At 40.0% G+C, this 14,635-nt stretch overlaps 1 protein-coding gene across 18 annotated transcripts in view, besides 1 other annotated feature; it reads right to left on the reverse strand.

Annotated features, from left to right (window-relative positions):
• The window catches only part of FOXP1 (forkhead box P1), a 629,271-nt gene that overhangs the window by 12,818 nt on the left and 601,818 nt on the right, over positions 1–14,635 (reverse strand). For 15 of the 18 annotated variants that reach the window (NR_146143.3, NR_146142.3, NM_032682.6 and 12 more), the window contains 5 exons: positions 10,303–10,504; positions 10,118–10,197; positions 9,416–9,517; positions 5,030–5,151; positions 3,211–3,280 (listed from right to left, as the gene is read on the reverse strand). Coding sequence is in view for 16 of the 18 variants with exons in the window: in NM_032682.6 (NP_116071.2) it covers positions 3,211–3,280; positions 5,030–5,151; positions 9,416–9,517; positions 10,118–10,197; positions 10,303–10,504 (576 nt within the window). In the remaining 2 variants the exon portion in view is untranslated. Of the gene's footprint in view, positions 1–3,210; positions 3,281–4,485; positions 4,656–5,029; positions 5,152–9,415; positions 9,518–10,117; positions 10,198–10,302; positions 10,505–14,635 lie in introns of all 18 variants that reach the window. The other 3 variants (NM_001244808.3, NM_001370548.1, NM_001244810.2) reach the window with 2 other exon arrangements.
• Positions 8,521–9,720: an enhancer, noted in NCBI's record as "BRD4-independent group 4 enhancer chr3:71025197-71026396 (GRCh37/hg19 assembly coordinates)". NCBI's record gives its function as "activates an origin of replication core promoter dependent on BRD2, P300/CBP, MED14 and CDK7 cofactors, and independent of BRD4, by STARR-seq in HCT116 cells {active_cell/tissue: HCT116}" and the evidence as "EXISTENCE:reporter gene assay evidence [ECO:0000049][PMID:35650434]".

Raw genomic sequence — 14,635 nt, forward strand, 5'->3', positions numbered from 1 at the left:
TGAACAGCAAATGTGAACATTCCACACTCTCCTACAGTGTGTCAAATAATTTGCATCAAGTACTTTTTCCAACAGCTCTTTTATAATTGCGATAAAGCTTTTTTTCTTTCTTTCTTTTTGTTTTTTTTTTGGCAGAGCAGTTGCCAGAACTACTATTATTTGTTTTTTTTTTTTGTTTTTTTTTGTTTTTTTTTTTTTTTTTTGCAAACTGCAGTTGGACAAGCATCTTAACTGCTTTTATCTGAGAGAGGTGTGACCACTGTTGTCTCAGTCACAGAAATTCTGCTGAGTGTCTTTCCACTGGAAATACCATAAGATAAGCTCTCATAAGACAATTTCACTATTCCAAGGTCAGAATGTGGCAAAAGTGGGGCTGCTGCTAGCTTAATTATTTTAGCAGCTTCCCTGGTCAAAAACTGTGAAGACAAAATTGAAATGCTGATATGAACGTGTTCATTGGGATGAGTTTGTCATCCTCTAGAGAAGGCAACTTTCTTGGGATGAGTATTTATTCTCTTTGGCTCTCAAAGTATTCTAGGTCAAGGCCATTGCTGATTGGGATTGGATCATAGAACATGGGCTGAGACCCAACAGCCACAGTAGTGAAACGCATACAAAGGCAAGCACTTATACTGATCCCTGGGTTCTCAGGCAAGAACGATGTAAGTGATGAAAACCAGCCTTGTCCCTTGAAAAAATGATCAAATGGGCTGCAGAGAGATCCCAGTGCCTGATCCGCAAGAGAGCTTCTTGAACACGCTCTCTGTTAAGCAAGTGATCAGAGCAACCCACCCAAGGTTAGATAAATTTTCACTAACTGCTTCTGCCTAACAAAGTGTTTTTTTTTTTTTTTTTTTGGTAGTTGATGTCCACTTAGAAGCAGGTGTGTTACAAAAATGGAGTTAATTATATAAATGGTCCTTGCACAGCATGTGGTTTCATATCAAGCTGGCACCTCTGCCAAAAAATGAAGTTGCTTAAGTAATGGTGCAGAAGTCCATAAGCACCCTCGCTCCTGGAACATTAACCACTCTGAGATCCTCAGGGGAAAGGCAGTCTATAAATACGAAGCTTTACGGTTACCCTTAGTTACTTCACTTTTCAGAGCATAATGCAATCTGTCCCAAGTCCCATGTTTTATTTCTGTAGTGGATTCTGCTGTCCTATTTTATATATTGTATATCATGCATTATGTTGCTCTAGTAATTTTTTTGAAGATATTGTTCCACTATTATTTTTACTTGTCTTGAAAAATGGAAATAGGCGGTAATGGAAAGGAAGGCCTGCTGGCAGAATCCTTATTTAATTTGCACAGTAGAAAGTTGTCTTATGTGTCTGTCTACTGATCAGGGATCCAAACTCGTAGAAGAGAGGGAAACAATCCACTTCTCAAATCATGAATTTGTATCAATTTATTCCCCTTGCCTCATTATGGACGGAAAGTGTTCTTGGAAAACGGCAGGACAGTTTTGGGCTACTGAAGAAGATGCCAAAAGCAAATGTTCAGAGATGAAACCTGAACAGTTCTGTAATGACAAAGCATACTAATTGAAATTAGTCACATAGTTAAGAGAATTCAGAGGATGGAGGATCACTTTTTTTTTTTTTTTGCCTTTCCGGCTCATGAATATAAAATGTGCTTGTAATCTTAATACTATTCCATATTCCAGATAGAGCAGGCTTTAAATTCACACTTCACAAGACTCCAGGGAAAATAAGTTACTAATGAATGGTATTTACAGTGGCAGCATCGAAGCATGCTTTCATTTACTCTTCTAAAGTTACTGTGTAAACTACAAGTAATTAAAAGAAACGCAGAAAGTAGTTTCTCCTATTAAATCTGGTTCAGGCTAAAAATAAATAAATATAATTACTGAAATGCTAAGGCCAGTGAATCTGCCTCTAAACTGAAACTGGGTAAATGGCCTATCATCAATTCCCAGGAGCCTTAAGACTATTCTGGGCCTGTAGGGTACAGAGTCGTGCTCCATAAATATCTGTTTAATGTCCATAAATATCTGTTTAATGCAGAGCAAGACCCAGGGCTCCTGTCAGTATCTCCTCCTTCCTCATCCTGTTCCCATCATACTAAAGGTCTCAACTGTTTTTTCATTATTGTCCCTTTTTAGACTTTTGTTTCTCTCTTTCTGCCCTCACCCCAAGAAATGTTCATATTTGCTCAAGTATTATGGTCCTTTGGAAGGACACAAGACATTGCAGTATCTCAGAACCAATCTAGGGGTGATACAGCCCCCATTGAGAATGTATGCTGCAGAGGACTGCAATGGTATTGGATGACAAATGTCAGATTTATCTATAGAATATGCTTCTCGAACAGTCTGGGTAGGGGCAAAAACAGGACCACTGGCCAAAAGGATACTGCTTACTTATGAACTCTTGAGGGGGGACTTGAGTACTACACCCAGGTACTTTAATGAAATGACACTGGAGTAGCCTTCATTTAAGAACTGAAATGTGCAACATGTAAAAAGTTTGCTAGAAGCTGGGCTGCCTCAGGTAGCTCCTTTTTGGGTGGTAATCTCGCTCCTGCTCAAAACCCGCGTCTTCATCTCCTGGTACCATTGGTGATGTAACAAGTACTTGGTTTGTCAGTAGGAAATAAATACTCCGTGTGATTATCATGTAATCTTGAACAATCTGCAGGAAAACTAAAGAGTCTTCTTAAACACCTCTATTGTTTAAACAGACATGGTTTACTTTTACAAAGTGAACCAGACCCCAGATCCTCCCCACCCCAGACAAAAGCCAAGATGCTACAGTCGACTTTAAAAGAAGAAAAAGAAATACAAAGCCCTGCTTTCTCTTTAAACCCATGAACAATAGAAGGTCATGTGACGCAGTGGCCTATCATCCAGCACATTAATAGCTGTGCTAGAGTAATTACACTTGTGGTATTTTTGCCTCAAGTGAAATTCTGAAATAAGAGGATGGAAATTATGATACTGCTGATAAATATTAATAAGTGAACTTTTAATTTTTTTGCCACAATATTCAAAATGCTAAGCATCCCGCTAACGCTGAAGCAGCCCGATGTGTTTGCCTCCAGGGAGTATGATGCTTTGTGCACTTAAGAAAAAAGTTTAACGGAATTAAAATTTAATATCTAATTAGAGCAAGGCTAATATATTTTGAAATGAGTAGGGGAGACCTGTGCCTCTGCTGCATATTCGGGACGGCCGTTAATCTTACCTGTAAAGCTGCATTGAGAGGTGTGCAGTAGGCGTGGCTGCTCTGCATGTTTTTAATAAGGGAAGGGTTACTGTGTAAGAAAAACATAAAAACTCAAAGTTAAACACAGTCGACTGCTGAGTTCCTAGCTAAGTTTTGTTTTAAGCTTGCTGGTGCCCTTCCAAATGAGCAATTTCCCCCACTAGCAAAACCCAAGAAAAGTCAGGCTTTCTCCCCGTCACTGATTTGCAGGGCGGGTGTGTGTGCACACCTCTGGGGTTGGACTTCTCTATTCAAGGAAACTAGGTGTAAAATTCTGGCTTAGGTAGTAACAGGCTTGGGTCCTCCCTCCAGAGACCTCTCTGCAGATTTTTAGGAGTTAGCCTGACTCCAGACTCCAACAGAAAGGAAGGCAGCAGCCTAGGAGGTCGTGCTGGGGAAGGCAGTGAGCTCACAGCAGGGGCTGCTGGGCACGAGCAGAGAGAATCTTGGCTCCTAAGCATCTTTGAGATTTGAACTTTACAGTGACTGCTAGAGGGATGGCAGGAAGGCTTTTAAGGAATATCCACAAGGCACGTTTATTGCCAACAGGCGATGGAGAGTAGGGTATGCCAGGGGAGGGTCGTTCCTAAATAAGGGGATGTCTTAGCCAGATCTGGGAGGGTCTGAGAATATTTGCTGCCATCTCCATTCACGGACCAAATGAAACTAACATACTGTTGTCAGAAAATCTCTAGCCTCGTAAGGATAAAAATATTAAAAAATTACATAGGGCATACTGAGGGAAAAGGGTGCCTCCCAGTAGGCAATTACCTACATTTATCAGTGGTCTTTAAAGGAAGTGTATGCAATATGACCTATTTCTTTACTATGCTTGGAACATTTTAGTCATTCACTTCATTACATTTGTATTATTATAGTGAGTGAACAAATAAGAAATCTACCCCAATAGTATATACACACATTTTAACTAACCAAAAATTCCCTTTTTACTTGGGGTGGGGAGAGAGGGGGGATTATGGGTTAAGCACAAGTATTTAGTTCTAGGGTCCCCGTAAGCTGCTGAATCAAAATAGAACGAATATTTGCATTAAAGACGTCAAAAAAGCATTATTCAAGGCACTGGTGTTCCAAAGAGAAACGAGAGCAATACATGTACAAATCACACAATTTAGTTTCGTTGCAGAAAGCTGTGGCACTGCTATTGGTGAAATGCAAAACTACATGGGATGAGTCAACCATGCAAAGCCAAAGCAACAGCAGAAAAAAAAAACAAAAGCAAGTAAAGGCTCTTACTGTGCGACAAGCTCGTCAAAGTTTTCATCGGGGCAGTATTTGCGAGGACGGCCTCGTTGAATATGGCGGCCACGTTTAAACTCTTCATCATCAACTGTCCAAAAGGACCCAAACTCATCCTCTACTCTGATAAAGCACTTATGCAGTGAGAGGTTGGTGCGAATGGCACCCTGGGATAGGAGCAGCAGCAAAGGAGATGGAGTGGCAACAAAAGGAGACGGGGTTGGGGGCAGAACAGACATCCAATACAGGGAACAGGAAAAAGAAAATAAAATGCAATAAGCATAAGCAAATGGTTTGTGAGGGTTAATATGCATTGCCACCTAAAAGCTACTAGCATGTGATGCAACAAAGACCAGCAAGCAGGGCAGGGGGACTGGTGGGTATACAAAACAGGAGGGATGAAATGCTTTTTTGCTTCCCTTAACTGAGACAACGTGAAACCAGTTCTTTGGTCTAACACCATCTAGCAGCCAAAGCCTCTACGTTATACTTGTTAGCACAATCCAAGCTAGGCTAAGAAGTTCAAACATGGTGGACGTACCCACTGATCTTTTGTGGCCTTCGTTTTTGGAATTCTACTTCATCCACTGTCCATACTGCCCCTTTAACGTTTTCTACTCGCACAAAACACTTGTGAAGACTAAGATTATGACGCACTGCATTCTGCAGCAAGTATAAAAGAGAGAACATTTACATTTTCTATAAGAAAAGACTCCAAAAACAGCAGTAAATTCAGCCTAACAGTCCACATTTGTAAAACCATCCCCAAGAGCTGTAGCTACCACCCCCGTGGAGGACCTTCTCATGGTTAAGGATGTCTTTTCCAAAAGCAAAAATAAACCAAAATTATAAATTAATCGTACTTTGGCATTTTCGTCTAGTCTCTGGTAATAACTGACCAGCAGAAATATTTTTTAATATGCATACAAGCCCAAAATAGGTTCCAGAGTACAAATCTGAAAATGTTACTGTGACTTCAAAACAACACATGCAAAGTATGAAACTGCCCTTTTTAAGCCCACCTACCTCCCATAAAAAGGGGGTATTTTTTTCAAACCACGAAAGAGGAACACTTGGTTAATACTGCTAAATACAGTTTTGTTCTTGATGGCTTCTGGCTTTTAAAACTTCCAGAGGTCCTATGAAGAATTCTAAAGTGGATTTTACCGTTGAGAGTATCGCCTTGTATAGTCAAAGGATCGGGGGGTGGTGAACGGACCCCCCGCCCCCGCCCCGCCCCGCCCCGGTCAAGAGATCAGTAGCTATCATGTTATGTCTCACCTTCCAGAATATGAGAGTTGGCCCTAACTATCGGCAAGTATTTTAACTGAGTAAATGCCAAAGGAACACGAGTGGAACTCTCAATGGCAAAATGACTATATTCCTACAGTTGATGGTTTCTGCAGACATATCTTGCTTATGGTTAAAAGTCCTTTCTGGCCATTCCTAAGCTGAGACCCTTAACATCGATAATTTATCAAAAAGGAGGATCTCAACTCAAGGGTGAAGAGCTTTTAATATCTCATCTTTCCTTTGGGTTTCAGAAGAATCCCCAACCCTTACTGGGTACAGTAACAAGCAAGGCTTCATTTCTTTAGTCCCGCCTGGTTAAACTTACGGATCCAGACTCAACGCTGGACATGAAGACATTCTAAAGAGATTCAGGTCATTTACTTAAAATTTTCTTCTTATTCAGAGTAAGTAGATGACTCAATAGTAGGTGACTCAATTGGGGCTTGAGAAGTTGATACATACATCACACTGGGTAAAGTCCTCACTCAATTCCAGCAACACTGCTATTGCACAAGCGTTTTGCACACCGCCCCCCCCCCCCCACCCCCCAACACATCCCATTCTGCCACCTGGAGTATTTCCTTCCTGAATTATCCTTAACGGTGGTGAATCTTGATACTCTGAGAGGTGCTTCAGTTTTTGGACAATCACAATTGGTGGCTGTGAGGATTCAAGCTACATAATGATTTTTCTTTTCTGATATGGAATATTTAGAAGATAATGAGACAAGTTTTTTAATGCATGGTGTGATGAATTGCTTGAAAGGAGAATTCACAGGATAAATTCCCAAAAAGTTTTTGAGTAATGTCAGCATAATTGAGGTCGGTTCAAGATACCCAGGTGACTATGAAAGGACACTCCTGATTCAAAAAAGTTGGAAGAAGGATTTGCTTAAAAATAAAAATCTCTAAACCGAAAACATTTGGCATGTCATACACTTGATAGGACAATTTTCTATGCATATAAACTGCAGTCTAGTCTAAATAAGCAGTTTTTTTTTTTCTTTTTTTGAAACTAGGTCTTGCTCTGTTGCCTGACTGCAGTGCAGTGGTTCAATTATGGCTCACTGAAGCCTTGTATTCCTGGGCTCAAGCGAGTCTCCTGCCTTAGCCTCCTGAGTAGTTGGGACTAGAGACATGTGTCACCACACCCAGCTAATTTTAAAAATTTTTTGTAGAGATGGGGTCTTGCTATGTTGCCCAGGCTGATCTTGAACTCCTGGGCTCAAGTGATCCTCCAGCCTCCTGAAGTGCCGGGATCACAGGCAGGAGCCACTGCATTTGGCTGCATTTTAAAAAAATATATTGCCCAAAGGCATACAATAGAAGGTCTACTGTTACTTACTGGAACAAAATTGAGGTGGTATAAATAAACGGACAGAGCCAATTTCCTTTAAAAATCCAGACAGGGCATGACACATGTAAGAGATATAACTTGAAAAGAAGTCAACATTGCTCCTAATCCTAATCACTGCTTGATGCTTTAAAATAAGTATCAAAATGTACAGAAATGAAAGGTCTTAAAGCTACTTTTGACAAAATAATTTCTGTAGATCAGGTTGAGCAATATAACCATGTGAGTAAAGACACAAAGCCAAAACTTCAGTTCTGTTTTCCAAAACTGCACATCTAAGCAGAAAGCGACGAGAAGTCAAGAGTTTTCAAAAAAAAGATGTGTAAGCTCTTTTCAGTCATAACCTTAACTGGGCATTTCATCTTTTGTCTAAGATCATGGTACAAACAAGGACACGTACAGAAAATTATACGTATTTATGAGTCACTATTTCATCTAAGGCTGTTTATATTAATGACACTTTTTCCTGCAGTTTGCAAAACGAAAAAGTGCAATCTGAAGATCTAAGCTTAAATATTATATTCACAACTGGTAATTATTTTTAAATTTCATCATTTCTATTTATAAAAGGCAATCTGAAGAAAATGTCTGCCTCATGCTTCGACTTCCTAAATTTTTTAAAGCATTCATGGCTAAAGATCCTTTCATATTTTATCTTCCAAGGCAGGCTGAGGCAAAGAGGGTAAGATTTTGAACATAGGTTCCCTTCAGTGCCCATGTGTCTTAATGGAAATGAAAGGATAATTTGGGCCATAATGGATATTCACAGCTCTGTAAAGTTGATGAATTAATTCTATGGTTATATTCGTTTTCTTTTAAAATGCTAATTTATCAGGAACTTAACAGAGGAAATGTATTTTTCTGTCTTTTGCTTTGGTTTTTCTCCGGTATAAAATTAAGGAATTAGCAAGGAAGGCATTTATTTCAGGCGAAGGAAGTTTTCCTTGTGTCCTATAACACATCCTTATCATATTTAGATTAATGGCATGTAAAAATAGCCTCAAATGTTTGTTATCACATGTCTCTAAATGTTTTGGATTTCAGGGATTACAAGAATTCCAGGTAGTAAAAAATGCAAAAATACAAATGACAGAGTGTACCTGTCCCCTTCTATAAGCAAGAATATTAGACACCAAGAAATCAAAAATGGGAAAGCCCAAAAATATGTGAGGGATCAATCTAATATAAGGGAGTAAATACCAGTGGAATCTTTGAGCCAGCTGCTGACCTGGGAATGAGGTAAGCCATATATGACCCCAAGCACTACTGGGGGCATCCAATAAAGAGCTATGCAATTTGACTTGTTTTTACAGCAAATAGTATTATAATGAATATAATGAAGTTCGAAATCTACTTTTCTTCCTTAGTATATCTATGAGGGACAATCTCCTTTTTTTTTTTTTTTTTTGAGACAGGGTCTTGCTCTGTTGCCCAGGCTGGAGTGCAGTGGCATGAACAGGGCTCACTGCAGCCTCAACCTCCTTGCCTCAAGCAATCGTCCCACCTCTGCCTCTGGAGTAGCTGTTGACCACAGGTGCATGCCACCATGCCTGGCTAATTCATTGAATTTTTTTTGTAGAGACAGGGTCTCGCTACGTTGCCCAGGCTGGTCTCTAACTCCTGAGCTCAAGTGATCCTCTTGCCTTAGCCTCCCAAAGTGCTGGGATTATAGGCATGAGCCACTGTGCCTGGCCGACAATCTCTTGACTTAAAACCAAAAAAAGAAAAACAAAAACCCCTGCCCCTTAATAATACATTGTGTTCTCCATTAATAACTCCTACAAACAGTGCTAGTGCTTGGATTGCACAGCTTTCTCTACTAATTGGGTTAATGAGCTATTTATCCAACCATTGAAGGCTGTGTCAAGTTTGGTCATTTCTCCAGGTTCCATCTCTGGAGATAGATCGCTGGAGATACATCTCTGCAAATATCGGCTGTGGCTGAAGACCTAACGGCATGAGGTTTGTGCAAGTAATATGGCAACCTCCACTTCTGGGCGACGGTGTTGTCTCCTTTTCTCTACATATTCCAACCAGAGAGAGATCACTTTACTGGCTGGCCCCTCCACACTGCTGATGCTGGTATAATGGGAGTCTTCCATCAGAGCATTTCAACCACAATGGCACTATTTTCCCAATCAAATACACCTAGAGATTGGACACTTTAAGAGTATCAAAACAATATAAATGTAGCTTCCTTATAGCACAACTGCATTTTATCAACAACAAACTGTTCTATGAACGTCAAGATCCAAGAATAAACAGGCCTGAGAAAGCTTACCTTCCACGTGGCCGCGTTGCGTCGGAAGTAAGCAAACATTCGTGTGAACCAGTTATAGATCTCATTTAGTGTTAGCTGCTTTTCTGGAGATTCGAGAATGGCCTGTGAAGCAGAATGTAACAGAAGATAATTTATGACCAAATCAGCAGAGTCGTCATTCCACAGTTTCTCGAAAATATAAAATCACTGTGATTCAGAGCTAAATCCTGAGAAAGGTTTTACAAAATGATCTAAGATTAATGGTTGTATTTAACAGTTCAATAGCAAAATTCAAAATGGAATTATCTAATTGTTTTGAGTTTTTATTTCTGTTTCCGTACAGAAATATTAATTTATTAGTCATTCATAAAGCAGAATCAAAGAGAAATGCAAAACATTTCACTAGCTGATTAAAGCTCAGTAATTATTTAGAGCTCAGATTAATTCTAGGGATCAGAGATTACTGTAGCTTGTGATAATTGACTTGCCATCTTTAAACAGGCTCATTTTCACTGTTGTGTGAAATGAATTTCCTAATAATCACATCGTATTGTAATACTTAATCAAAAGCAATTATGTTATATATTGCAGTTTTAAAAAACCTTATAGAAAAGGTTTCAGCATGCTTGCATACTAAACGGTTTTTAAATCTACTTCATCAATATATATCCATGTACACATATACCTTCTGACAGAATTTCATATACTGTGTTATTTACTTACCTGCCTAATTAAAGATGCATATGTAAATGGTGGTCTAACTTCTGCGTTCTTATAAAATTCTTGGTTCTGCGCAATATCTGCTGAATAAGAATCATTGTCCTATTAATTATCACTTTTTCAAAAGGGGCTGGTCTACAAGAATTGCAGATTACAACTCTACGTGAGGCAAAAGGTGGAGTATCTACCTGACGAAATGGGCACGTTGTATTTGTCTGAGTACCGCCTGCGGATGGGTCCCACCGTGTGCATGCTGGTGGTTGTGATGACAGAGGGGCCTTGGGTGACGGGAGTCAGGGGGGCGGTTGGGGTCGTTGGAGTATGAGGTAAGCTCTGTGGAGAAGCCTCCGATGCGGACTTGGAGAGAGTGACACTTGATACCAGATTCAACTGCAAGGAAAAAAACAACGTCTTAGAAGACCTTCAGAAAACCAGAGCAACCCAGGAACCACATCTAGCAGGAGTAACACAGAGGATGCGTGGGCACCGTTTCTTCCTCTATGTAGATGGTATGTTTACCATGAACCGAAACACACGGTGAGTCCTGCGTGAATTCACTTAGGATGCAGTGTAAGATATCTCTGGCAGCGGTCTCTTTTCCAAAGGCTGCTACATGGGTGTTTACAGGCTCAAAAAGGGGTTACCTACCTGAGGGAGTGTGAGAAACCCTGAGTCAAGACATTTATTTCATTGTGATGTCTCACCTATAGGCTTTGATCGCCCATCAGGCCTTGTCAACCTCAAAGAGGGAGAGAAGTCCTTAGCAATACCAGTGAAGCTGAGTATTTTAGGTGACACCAGTTGGGATACGCTGGTGTAGATCTGAAGAAGTGTCCAGCAGAATTTCTGCAATATGCTAGCACAACCAAAGAGCTGTTTTTACTTGATTTTTATTAAAATTAAACTTTAATAAATGTAAATGGAAAGAGCCCCATGTGGCTAGTAGCTACCATACTAGACAGCCCAGGAAGAGCCTACTGAGCTCCCTCATGCAGCTTCGTGGATGACGAGAACTCCTGCAAATATGTGTGGCCTATTTATTACTCATATTAAACACAATGGGCCTGACCCCACCAGCTGTCATTTGTTTCTATCAATCAATCAATCAGTTGGCAGAAAATAATCCTTAACAGCATTATGAATAACCTTTATTAAATCTATCAAATACAGGCTTGGGATCTGTTAATTTTTTTTATTGTGACATTCTTTTACAGAATACGGGAGATCTGCAACTGAGGTTTTTGATTTTTTTCCTTCAAGTTTTGAATGTTCTATAAAATGGGAAATAATCTGCTTCAAGTTAGGAAATGAATATTACTTATTTGAAGTAGAAGAGAATAAAATAGGCCGGGCATGGTGGCTCACACCTGTAATCCCAGCACCTTGGGAGGCTGAGGTGGGAGGATCTCTTGAGGCCAGGAGTTTGAAACCAGGCTGGACAACATGGTGAAACTCTGTCTCCATTAACGCACACACATACACACACACACAAATTAGCCATGTGTGGTGGCACATGCCTGTAGTCCCAGCTACCTAGGAGGCTGAGGTGGGAAGATAGCTTGAGTCTGGGAGGCAGAGGTTGCAGTGAGCTGAGATCACCACTGCATTCCAGCCTGGGTGATAGAGTGAGACTCTACCTCAAAAAAAAAAAAAAAAAAAAAAAAAAAAAAAAAAAAAAAAAGAAAAAAATAAATTAATGAGCACTGTTTCAATTTATCTTTCTTATCTTCACCTTAAAGTACTGTTCTTACAAATACTAAAAGGCATAACCCTTCCCCAAAATTTGTTGCAACAGAAATATTATTTTACGTCTGGCAATGCTGAAGAATTTGGTTGTTTTCAGCGTATGTATTACTGTTTATGTGCTGTCTCAGATACACAGACCCACCCTAAAATCCAATAAACTTCAGCAAAGTAGGCTTACTTGGTAATATTTTCTCAAACCAGATTTCAAATCACTTACCATAGTAAGTCTATTTCACCAAGTCTAATTCACCATTGCTATAGTCAGTCTTAAGTACAAGGCAGTATTTGTGGAAGGTATTAAAAATGAGATTCCTCTGAGATCATAATCAAAGAACTTATTAAAAGAGAGTTCCAATATGTTGGGAAGACTCGACCTTTACTCACACTCTAGTTAAAAAAAAAAAAAAAGGGAGGGGGGCCTGAGAATCCTCTCTAATATGTTTCAGGAGAGTTTCATAAAAAAGCAATGAACCTGAAGAAAAGAAAGATCAAATATCATGAAGAAATACTAATGGAAAAATGTAAACATGGCGCTGGAAACAGAATGTTGTGAGCTTTGAGTTGTGCTTTCCTTTTTATTTTCAGCGTAGAATGTTGTCTCGGTGAGCAAGAGACAATGCCTGCGAAGAGCAAGCTCTGGAGATGGCACTGCCCTTACAAATGCCCCAGCAAGCTGAGCAGATGCCATGAGCGGGTTTTTCTCTATAATGTTGGAAACCTGGCTTTCTGACACACATTTGCAAACTAAGTGTGAACAGTTCAGAGTAGCAGCCGCAGGATGGGGCAGAGCTGAGAAGCCAAGGGGGGAAGAGTTGGGGCTGACCTCTTCTTCACCTCGGGCCTTAATCACTGACCAAGTCCAGGAACAGTATGTATAAGCATCAGCCCAAGCAAAGGGTCAAGGAAATTAGTGCATGAAAGGCTAATGCTCATAAATATACAGCTTTTATAATTCAGACGCTGCTAAGCCTAAGAATCTCAGAGCGCTTTGGAAAGTCATGGGTAACATTTGTAAAAATCATGTTTTAAAACCACCTGCCACTGTGTGGTCTCCTTCAATTCTCATACCACCACTAATATCTGAGATGTTATTACTCATACTTTACAGATAAGCAAACTGAGGCTTGGAGAGATTAAATAATTTGCCCATATTCCCAACCCAGACCCAAGGTCAAACCACACACTTGTATGATTCTAGATCCTTTGTATAATCATCTTATGCCTAGTTAATAGCAAAAATGAACACTAACCAGTTTCATTTTTCTGTATGCTCATTTTTGGAAAAGATTCCGTGCAGAGCATTTTATCCCTGCTTATGCATGACAATCAACACGTGTAACTGAGCAAATATAAGGCAGTTACTCCTACAATGACAAAAACAGGAAGAAAACAGCTAATTGCTGCCCTTGAAGCGCTTACCATCAAACACATACGTCAGTCAAAGGGCAAAGGTACACAGTAACCACAAAGCAGTTCTGAGGACTGACTATACTTCTCGGCTTCTCTTTTCAGTTTAAGAACTTTTCCCTAAACACTGTGGCTTTCTGAAAGATGCAATGAAAATTACAAACACAAATGTCCTTCATGCCTGCTCCCTTTCAGTTTTGGGAGGAAGATCACCAAGTTAACTGAGTTCCAGTTTCATTGTCAGAAATCAAAACTCATTCAGCAAGTGCAAGCCCATCTTTTTGGGTGTTCACAGCTACGAAGAATAGACAAATCCCACAGTAAAATGTCATCAAAATGCCGAAAGGATGTGAGCCTTGTAGCTATTACCAAGATCGCACCACTAGGACTCTTTCTACCAAAAAAAAAAAAAAAAAAAAAAAAAAAGCAACAGCGAAAAATAAAATCCCTCCAAGTTAGCACAATCCACAAAGGAAGAGATGAAGGTAGAATTTTCTGGAGGCTTTTGAACATTAGCAAGTGGGAATAAATACTGAGCCAGAAGAGAGCAGAGAGGGGGCTTACCAGGCTTGACAAATGACACCGTGATTCACACCCACTGCTGGGCTGTCTCTAATAAGCCACAGAGGAAGCAGCCAATCTCAGCTAATTACCAGATAAAAATGTATTGTAAGGACTCTAATTAGGAGACGCGGATGGAGGTGATCTAATGATTAAATGCTGCATTCGACTGACCCCACCATCAATGTGCAGTGGTGCAAGATGTCACTGGAATATTTTGTAGAAACAGTAATTTTATTTCGAGGAGGGGAGGCAGTAATATTTGTAATGATGGCTATGAGGTAAACTAATTAAAAGACAGTTCCTAGAGGAAGAGGGTGGCTGAGAGCAGCTGTGGCCATTCCAAAACCAAGTGCCAAGTCTCAATAGAGGAGCTGCAGTCAAGTGGAAAATTTCTGCCTGACCTCTGCCCTTGCTATTAATTTGCAGGAAAACTAATGACACATATACATATTCCCACAAAATTGTTCTAATTGCTAATTTGCCAAAGGAGCCCAGATTCCAAATTAAACATGACTAGCCCGTGAGGGAAGGAAGAAGAAAAAGCTGTACACTCCAAACACAGGGTGCTTTGCCACACAAAATCATTTGAAGGCTGAACCAACAAGTTAATGAAATGTCAACCTTGTCAACTGGTACAGAAGTTTCTTAACTTTTAAACTTCTGTTTGATGATCACATGCTTGTCTGGAGGAGAAACCATCTTCGAAAGGGAAGGTTGAGAGAGAAAGAATGGAGAAGAAAGACTCAAAGCAGGCTCTGTGTTCAAACCAAACCTGCTCTCTTAATTAAGGCCTCTTTGAAAAAA

Source organism: Homo sapiens, chromosome 3, assembly GCF_000001405.40.
Source record: "Homo sapiens chromosome 3, GRCh38.p14 Primary Assembly".
NCBI lineage: Eukaryota > Metazoa > Chordata > Mammalia > Primates > Hominidae > Homo > Homo sapiens.